The 10,262-nt window shown below is 47.2% G+C and overlaps 1 annotated feature.

Annotated features, from left to right (window-relative positions):
• Window positions 9,242-9,829: an enhancer, noted in NCBI's record as "H3K27ac hESC enhancer chrX:153825347-153825934 (GRCh37/hg19 assembly coordinates)". NCBI's record gives its function as "activates a minimal SCP1, AML or CMV promoter by ChIP-STARR-seq in primed H9 embryonic stem cells {active_cell/tissue: H9 hESC(primed)}" and the evidence as "EXISTENCE:reporter gene assay evidence [ECO:0000049][PMID:30033119]".

The following is a 10,262-nucleotide window of genomic DNA, read 5'->3' on the forward strand; positions in this document are numbered from 1 at the left end:
AAAAAAATTTTTTTTTAAATTAGGTGGGTGTGGTGGCAGGCACCTGTAGTCCCAGTTACTCAGGAGGCTGAGGTGTGAGGTGGAAGGATGTGTTGAGTCCAGGAGCTGGATGCTGCAGTGAGCTATGAATGCACCCCTGAGCTCCAGCCTGGGTGACAGAGTGAGACCCTGCCTCTAAAATAATGATAATAGTAATTCAAATAATCTAAAATCTTTGTGAACATGTAATATAACCAAAACACAGGTTCATTCCCTCATCGCTTGGAGATCCAATTAACAAGAGCGTGGTCTGCTATAAAGAAACGGACTTTCTGCCATGCTTGATTTAGGGGAAGACGTACAGGCTCCTGCCTTTAAGGGTGCTGCTTCCCACTGGGGGCAGAAAGCAGGGCCTTTTAAAGGAGGACTTGGCGTGAATGGTAGGCAGGGGAGGGAGCAGGCAGCTGTGGGGTCTGCATGACATGCTGAGGTGTCTTGTCTGCCGGGAGGTCACGCTGGCACCATCTTGGGCAGAGCTAGGTTGGAAAGGGGCTGTTTGTCAAAGCAAAACAGACATATGCTTGAGCTGTGTTCTGGGATGCTCTTAAGTTGCTCGGAGACAACTTGATCCCTTTGAGTTTTGTTTTAGCATTTGCTCGGTGGGAACACAGCAGATTTTAATGTAAGATTAATAATATTAGTTGACAATCTCCAATGCTTGGCAAGGCTGTAGTTGGAAACGAGGACTCATACGCTGTCAGTAGGAGTGGTAGTAACATCTATCTGGACATTTATTTGGCATTTTCTATTAAGGGAAAGATGTGCATACCCTTCCAGCTGTAGGGAAAAGAAAGAGAGATCAGACTGTTACTGTTGTCTATGTAGAAAAGGAAGACATAAGAAACTCCATTTTGACCTGTACCCTGAACGATTGTTTTGCCCCGAGATGCTGTTAATCTGTAACTTTGCCCCAACCTTGAGCTCACAGAAACATGTGTTGTATGGAATCAAGGTTTAAGGGATCTAGGGCTGTGCAGTATGTGCCTTGTTAACAAAATGTTTACAGGCAGTATGCTTCGTAAAAGTCATCACCATTCTCCATTCTCGATAAGCCAGGGGCACAATGCACTGCGGAAAGCCGCAGGGACCTCTGCCCTGGAAAGCCGGGTATTGTCCAAGGTTTCTCCCCATGTGATAGCCTGAGATATGGCCTCGTGGGGCGGGAAAGACCTGACCGTCCCCCAGCCCAACACCCGTGAAGGGTCTGTGCTGAGGAGGAAGGCCTCTTGCAGTTGAGATAAGAGGAAGGCCTCTGTCTCCTGCCTGCCCCTGGGAACTAAATGTCTCAGTATAAAACTCGATTGTACATTTGTTCTCTTCTGAGATAAGAGAAAACCCGCCCTATGGCGGGAGGCGAGACATGTTGGTGGCAGCAATGCTGCTCTGTTACTCTTTACTCCACTGAGATGTTTGGGTGGAGAAAAGCATAAATCTGGCCTATGTGCACATCCAGGCATAGTACCTTCCCTTGAACTTATTTGTGACACAGATTCCTTTGCTCACATGTTTTCTTGTTGACCTTCTCCACACTATCACCCTGTTCTCCTGCCACATTCCCCTTACTGAGATAGTAAAAATAGTAATCAATAAATACTGAGGGAACTCAGAGACCGGTGCCAGTGCGGGTCCTCCGTATGCTGAGCACCAGTCTCCTGGGCCCACTGTTCTTTCTCTATACTTTGTCTCTGTGTCTTATTTCTTTTCTCAGTCTCTCGTCCCACCTGACGAGAAATACCCACAGGTGTGGATGGGGCTGGCCCTCTTCATTTGGCGCCCAACGTGGGGCCTTTCTCTAGGGTGAAGGTGCGCTAAGACCGTGAGCATTGAGGACAGTCGATGAGAGATTCCCGAGTACGTCCACGGTGAGCCTTGCGGTAAGCTTGTGCACACGGAGGAACCCAGGGTAACAATGGGACAAACTGAAAGTAAATATGCCTCTTATCTCAGCTTTATTAAAATTCTTTTAAGAAGAAGGGGAGTTAGAGCTTCTACAGAAAATCTAATTATGCTATTTCAAACAATAGAACAATTCTGCCCATAGTTTCCAGAACAGGGAACTTTAGATCTAAAAGACTGGGAAAAAATTGGCAAAGAATTAAAACAAGCAAGTAGGGAAGGCAAAATCATCCCGCTTACAGTATGCAATGATTGGGCCATTATTAAAGCAGCTTTAGAACCGTTTCAAACAGAAGAAGATAGCGTTTTGGTTTCTGATGCCCCTGAAAGCTGTGTAATAGATTGTGAAGAAGAGGCGGGGACAGAGTTCAAGAAAGGAACGGAAAGTTCACATTGTGAAAATGTAGCAGAGTCTGTAATGGCTCGGTCAACACAAAGTGTTGACTACAATCAATTACAGGAGGTAATATATCCTGAATCACCAAAACTGGGGGAAGGAGGTCCAGAACCATCGGGGCCGTCAGGGCTAAAACCACGATGGCCACCTCCTCCTCAGTCGAGTGAGTGCTGGGGGAGGGAGCCTGAAACCAGGCTGGCTGCAACTCGGCTCGCGGTGCCCATTATTGCCCAACCGGCAGTTCACTGCGGTGAAGGAGCAATTCAGACTCGCCCTGTAGCATCCTGTCTGGGTCAAACAGTGGCCGCTCCCTAAGGAAAAGTTAGGGGCGCTACATAAAATAGTTAAAAAAACTATTTAAAAAAGGACATGTTTCACCCACTGTCTCTCCTTAGAATTCGCCAGTGTTTGTAATTCAGAAAAAATCCGGCAGATGGCGCATGCTAACCGACTTAAGAGCCGCTAATGCCGTAATTCAACCCATGGGGGCTCTCCAACGCAGGCTGCCCTCTCCGGCCGTGATCCCCAAAGGTTGGCCTTTAATTATAATTGTTCTGAAGGATTGCTTTTTTTTTTTTTTTTTTTACCATTCCTCTGGCAAAACAGGATTTTGAAAAATTTGCTTTTGCTATACCAGCCATAAATAATAAAGAACCAGCCACCAGGTTTCAGTGGAAAGTGTTGCCTCAGGGAATGCTTAATAGTCCAACTATTTGTCAGACTTTTGTAGCTCAAGCTCTTCAACCAGTTAGAGACATGTTTTCAGACTGTTATATCATTCATTATGTTGATGATATTTTGTGTGCTGCAGAAATGAGAGACAAATTAATTGACTGTTACACATTTCTGCAGACAGAGGTTGCCAACGCAGGACTGACAATAGCATCTGATAAAATTCAAACAACAGCTCCTTTTCATTATTTAGAAATGCAGGTAGAGGAAAGGAAGGTTAATCCTCAAAAGATAGATAGAAATGAGAAAAGACACATTAAAATATGAAATGACTTTCAAAAATTGCTGGGAGATATTAATTGGATTCGGCCAACCCTAGGCATCCCTACTTATGCCATGTCAAATTTGTTCTCTATCTTAAGAGGGGATCCAGAATCAAATAGTAAAAGAACATTAACTCCAGAGGCAACTAAAGAAATACATGAAAAGAAATACAAAAGCAAATAAGCACATGAAAAGATGCTCAGCTTCACTAATTTTTAAATAATTTTCATTTCCTTCTTTAGCTTTTTATTTTCTTCTTCTTGAGGCAGAGTCTCGCTCTGTCACCCAGGCCAGAGTGCACTGGTGCAACCTTGGCTCACTGCAACCTCCGCCTCCTAGGTTCAAATGATTCTCCCGTCTCAGCCTCTTGAGTAGCTGGGATTACAGGTGTGCACCACCACTCCCGGCTAAGTTTTTTATTTTTAGTGGAGACGGGGTTTCATCATGTTGGCCAGGCTGGTCTCAGACTCTTGACGTCAAATGATCCACCCACCTTGGTCTCCTAAAATGCTGGAATTACAGGCGTGAGCCACCCTGCCCGGCCTCCTTCTTTAGTTTTTAAAGAAAAATTAAAACAATGATTTTTTTTTCCATCTGATTGGCAAAAATTTAAATAATTCCCATCAGTTCAGCAAGGATGTGAGGCTAGCGACACTGTCATAGGCTGTTGATGACGGTGTATATTGGAGGGCAAGTTGGCAGCAATGTAAGACAAGGGTAGAGAAGGGAGGGTCCAGATGGCCGGGGAATCTCCTCTGGCCAGAGCAGAAAGTACTGGAGGAAGAGAAAGGACAGGCAGGTATGCTGAGCACCTTGTCCTGTGTTTTAATTGAGGAGTTTCCTGGGGTCTCACCCTGTACGCTGCAGAGAGCAAGTCAGGACTGTGGAACAGCCTGAGCTGCAGGGAACCTGAAGGAAGCTTTGGTAAAACTTGATGATATGGTTTGGCTGTGTCCCCACCCACATCTGATCTTGAAGTGTGGCTCCCATAATTCCCACGTGCCATGGGAGGGACCTGGTGGGAGGTAACTGAATCATGGGGGCGGATGTTTCCCATGCTGTTCTCGTGATAGTGAATAAGTCTCATGAGATCTGACGGTTTCATGAAGGGGAGTTCCCCTGCACATGCTCTCTTGACTGCCACCACGTAAGATGTGCCTTTGTGCATCCTTTGCCTTCCACCATGATTGTGAGACCTCCCAGCCATGTGGCACTGTGAGTCCATTAAATCTCCTTCCTTTGTAAATTACCCAGTCTTGGGTATGTCTTCATTAGCAGCATGAGAACAGACTAATACACTTGGCCTTTCTCCCAAACCCACGCTCAGTGTCTGTCCTGTTTGGAAAGCCTTTCCTGGAGATACACGCTCAGATCCGAAGGACACCATCCTTCCACCCCACAGCCGCATTAGCACATTGGCTTTCATATGTGTTCATTCAACCACCATTTATTCAGCATCTATGAAGCAGCAGACACTGGGGCCAGGCTCTAGAGATGTGCCCAATTGCAGAAACTCCTGGGGACACTAGGGACCCAGCTGCCGCCACTCAACACATGCTCATCCCAGACTGGAGAGCTCATGGGCTAGAGAGAAACATGGAAAGAGTCAGCAGAATAAAGGTGCTACATGTTTGCTGGTCAATCCTGAGGAAGTCGTTTCCTTACCCTTAGGTTGGCTTTCCATGCCATGTCCCTTTCTTCTTGTGTCTCCTTTTGGTGGCCTGGCATGAGGGGGTGGTGTAATTGAGCTAGCTTTCACCACTGAGACAACACCACAGGGGAAGGGCAAGAAGGCAGCCAGACAGACCAAGGTCTCCACAGAGGTACTGCATCTGGAGATCATTGTCATATACATGAGCCGGTGCTTTGCTCGAACTGGCTAACATCCATATTCCCATCATCCTCTCCTATCTATCTGTCTCATCGGCCGACACTGCAATGTAGACCACATCCAGAAGGCCCTTCTGGCTCCTTCTTAGTGGATATGGGAGACTCAGAGACAGAGTCCTGATGATGTTTTAGAGCAGGAGGGTTTTCAAGTTACTCCACACCTCGACTGTCACCTGGGGATAGAGTTTGGATATTTGTCCCCTCCACATCTCATGTTGAAATGTGATCCCCAGTGTTGGAGGTGGGGCCTGGTGGGAGGTGTTTGGGTCATGGAAGCAGATCCCTCAAGAATGGCTTGGGCCATCCTCTTGGTGATGAGCGAGCTCTCGCTCTGAGTTCACACGAGATCTGGTCATTTAATAGCATGTGGCAACTCCCCACCCCCTTGCTCCTGCCCTGGCCATGTGATGGTCCAACTCCACCTTTGCCCTCTGCCATGATTGGAAGCTTCCTGAGGCCTCACCAGAAACAGATGCTGCTGTGCTTCTTGTACAGCCTGCAGAACCGTGAGCCCATTCAACCTCTTTTCTTATCAATGACCCGGCCTCAGGCATTTCTTTATAGCAGTGCAAGAATGGCCTAATACACCTGTAAATTTGGGAGCTGCTTGCGGTCATCCTGGGAAAAGGTGCAGAAGACATTTGTCTTCAGAGAAAAGGAAGAAAGGAGCAGATCCACAGGGCTGAAAGACACAGGGAGGGAGGAAGTCCTGATGGTGTCTGAGTCTCTGGTTTCAGTTTGTTCCTGAGGCCCAGCTGCAGTCCTGTCCTGGGCTTCTGAGAGACAACCACCCTGCATCCCATAAACCTGGTATTCACTTTAGAAGGTCCCATGCTTTCCTGACCTTGGTGGAGTTGCTTTCTGCTTCTTTTGACCCACAGAATCCCAGCTGCCACATCTGCTTGATCACTGCTACAGTTTGGATGTTTTGTGCCCTCCAAACCTCATGTTGAAATTGATCTCCAATGTCGGAGGTGGGGCCTGGTGGGAGGTGTTTGCTCATGGGGGTGGATCCCTCATGAAGGGCTTGGGGTTGTCCTCATGGTGGCAAGTGAGCTCTCCCTCTCTTAGTTCCCAGAATATCTGGTTCCTAAAAAGAGCCTGGCACCTCCTTCTCTCTCTCTTGCTTCCTTTCTTGTCCTGTGACCTCTGCACATGCCACCTCCCCTTCACTTTCCACAATGAGTGGAAGCAGCCCGAGGCCCTCCCCAGAAGCAGAGCAGATGCCACCACCATGCTTTCTGTATAGTCTGCAGAAGCCTGAGCCAAATAAACCTCTTTCCTTTATCCATGACCCAGCCTCGGGTATTCCTTTGGAGCAACACAGATGGACTAAGACACTCATCCTTACAGAAGAAGGTCTCTGTCTTCCAATATTGGGAGTTAAGGAGGCTCCATCAGACACTCTGTGTTCCAATCTTTCGGGCAGGATGAAGAGAGAGGGAAAAAGTCTAGACTCTCTGTGGTTCTACTTTGCCAGCTAAGAGATCTGGTAAAATGTGAAGAGCCCAAGACAATGGCGGCAGAGAGGTGGTATGGTGCCCCCTGACCTGGCACATTCCCCCTCAGAAAGCGAGATCATGACAGTGGCCAGCCCTTTCCATGGTGCTGCCACATGTAACCAGTATAAGGCAGGAGTAGAGACTCCTGTGGACTTCTCAGAAAGCTGGACTTCCAGGGGCGCTGGTGGGGCCAGATGTATCTCCTTCCTCCAGCTGCTGCAGAACTCAACCTTGCTTCCAACCCAGGCCCCTCTCAGTTAGTGGGTGCAATTCCCCAAGACGCTGTGTTTTCATAGGCAGGGAGCCACAGGCTGCCCCTGCCTTTAAATTAGTCTTGCACCCTCTCCATGAGAGCCACAGAAAGTGAAGTTCACAAAATGAGGATGCTCCACGTAGTGGATTGAACTGTGTCCCCCAAAAGTCATGTTGACCCAGGACCCGTCGATGCGACCTTATTTGGAAATAGGGTCTTTGCAGATGTAATCAAGTTAAGATGAAGTCCTTACAGTGGGCCCTAATCCAACAGGACTCATATCTTAATTAAAAAGGGGAAAATTTGGAAACAGACACATACAGGGACAAGGTCATATGATGACAGAGACAGAGATTGGAGTGATGTGTCTAAGCATCTAAAAGCCACAGAACATCAAGGAATGCCACCAGCCACCCGAAGCTAGGAGAGACCAGGAACGATTTTTCCCTGGGAGCCTCTTTGGAGGGAGCGCGGCCCTGCCCATACCTTGACTTCAGACTAGTGGATGCCAGAACCTGCAAGAAAATCCATTTTTGTCGTTTTAAGCCATGCAGTTTGTGTTATTTTGTTCTGATGGCCCTAAATAAATGAATACAGTCTGCAAGTGGATGGTGATCCAGAAACTGCTTCCAGCCTGTAATAAGTACAGAAATTGAGTGTATACGCAGGCAGAGTAAATCTGTTGAATCAGAGTGTCTGTTGACTCTAACAATAAAGTAGATGGGCTTGGACTTGGTATGTCTTTTTCAGTTAATTGTATGATAAATTTTATTGTTTTAACAAAAGTACCAGTCCATGATAGATTGGAACTATGAGAGAGATACAGAGACAGAGAGAGAGAGGAGAGAGAAGAGAGAGAGGAGAGAGAAAAGAGAGAGCAGAGAGAGAGAAGAGAGAGAAGAGAGGAGAGAGAAAAGAGAGAGGAGAGAGAGAGAGGAGAGAGAGAGAGAGAGAGGAGAGGGAGAGAGAGAGAGAGGAGAGACAGAGAGAGAGAGGAGAGAGAGAGAAATTCCTCAGAGATCCTGGTGAGGAGCTGCTGCTGTTTCCTAGTTAGCTGATGAACTGGCTTCCCCTTATAGTTTACATTTCATTTGCTTCATTTGTCATTTCAGCATAACTCTGGGGAGAGGACTTAAAAATCTTTGCCCTCTGGTCACTATTTTACCCAGAAGTTCTAATGCTTATGGTTTTCTTGTATTAAAGTTAAAACATCCTTATGAATTATTCCGATATGGAAGTGATGCAATTTCTACATTCTGAGATGACATCAATGATTGTAACATCATTTTTGTATATTCATAACAGAGAGAGAGAGAGAGAAATAGGATAGCAAAACCAAAACCCGAGGGCAGCATCCACAATAAAACTAAGTGGTGACAAGATATCCACATGAACTCCAAAATCTGGAGTGGCTGAGACCAAATCACCCCTCCCGCACCTGCTCCAAGATCTGCAGAGCCTTAGCATCTGAGGGAAGTGAGTGGGCACCTGGCAGACCCAGAATTCCAATACTTACCTGCCTTCAGGCAATTGCAACTATGGAATTCTTTGTGGTTGCCTCCACTACAAAACAAGGTAATAAAAATCATCTATAAATCTGTAGCTAACCATTTCAAAACACAAATGGACTGTAATGAGTAAGCTCAAGTGAGACAAAAAAATGATCAACCAGATTGCTTCATCATATCTCAACCTGGTACTTGCAGAGGGTTCTATTGAGCAGAGCTTAGTGTTGAGGCTGTGGGTGCAGCTGTGGCTTCCTCATCCCCTCCAGGCAGGGGTGGAGCACCATGGTGAGGGGAGGGGGGCCAGAGTTCACCGTAGAAACCAGAAGTGCTAGTTAAGAAGCCAGAGGAATTCTGAGCCTCCCCCCTCACCGCCTTCCCCTGCAACCAGAATTGCATTCCTGCATATTTAGCACCAGAATTCCTAAGCAATTTACAAGCATTAGCACTGAAGTTGAGAATCTGGGGGAGTAGGGAGGGGCCAATAAATAGCACCTCTTCCCTGCCTGCCAGGGTTCCTAACCAACTGAGAAATTCCACAAACGTGCCAGCAGATGGGGAAGCAGCCTTGGTGGACAGGGCTTGTTAGAAGAGCCAAATGGGCTTGCTAATTCCTCACAAGCCCCCTAGTCTAGACTTAGAGCGGTCCACTGGAGGAAGGTTTTGGGTCTGTAGAACAGGTTCACATCCCCAATATTGCTGCCTGCCACCAAACTGGGCAGGAAGGAAAGGAAAAAGAGGCCAGATCTCCCACAGTGAGAACTTTTGACAAATTAACCACTTGATCCTTCCTCAAGGAGACTGGGGGAGAGAAGAGTTACCGCCCTAACATGCACACCTAATGTTTCCCAAATTTTTGTACCTTGATATGGTTTGGCTGTGTCCCCACCCAGATCTCATCTTGAACTGTAGCTCCCATAATCCCCACGGGTCGGGTCATGGGAGGGACCCAGGGGGAGGTAATGGAATCATGGGGGCGGGTCTTTCCCATGGTGTTCTCACGGTAGTGAATAAGTCTCACGAGATCTGATGGTTTTACAGAGGGCAGTTCCCCTGCACACGCTGTCTTGCCTGCCGCCATGTAAGACATGCCTTTGCTCATCCTTCGCCTTCCGCCATGATTGTGAGGCCTCCCCAGCCACGTGGAACTGTGAGTCCATTGAACCTCTCTTTCTTTATAAACTACCCAGTGTTGGGTATTTCTTCATAGTGAAACAGCCAAGTAGAAAGGGGCCCTGGAGAAGCTCCAACCGGCTAGGGCACTGGGAGAACAGGGTAGCGCCATGGAAGTTTGTGCCATTTCCAGGCGGGAGGAGCCTGGCCCCTCCTGTTCCTGTGCGGTAACCTGGGATTCAACCTGTGAGATGGGGGCCTGTTAACAGGAACCCCTCTGGCTTTGCTGAGAGTCTTTTTCCTTTTTGCCCAATATATTCCATAACCCCTCACCCTTCAAAATGTCTGTGTGCCAAATCTTTCCTGGTCATGTGACAAGAACCCAGTTTTTAGCTGAACTGAGCAGAAAGTCCTACAACAGTAGCAGTATGAAAATGGTCAGATACATACCTCTTAACCCATTGGGCTTAACTAGTAAGTCTATGGTGTACCCACAGCCAAAAGTTTACCCCTTACTCTGTTTCCTCATCCCAAATTATTTCTGGCCATCGTTGCCCAACATATCTCATCAGAGGTTCTGCAACAAGGTCAAATGGCATCTATGAGATATTCTAACAATGAGAGTCCAACATAGCACATGTCCCAAATGTAAACCCTCTCCCATGAAGAAT

This window comes from Homo sapiens, chromosome X (genome assembly GCF_000001405.40).
Source record: "Homo sapiens chromosome X, GRCh38.p14 Primary Assembly".
Lineage (NCBI taxonomy): Eukaryota > Metazoa > Chordata > Mammalia > Primates > Hominidae > Homo > Homo sapiens.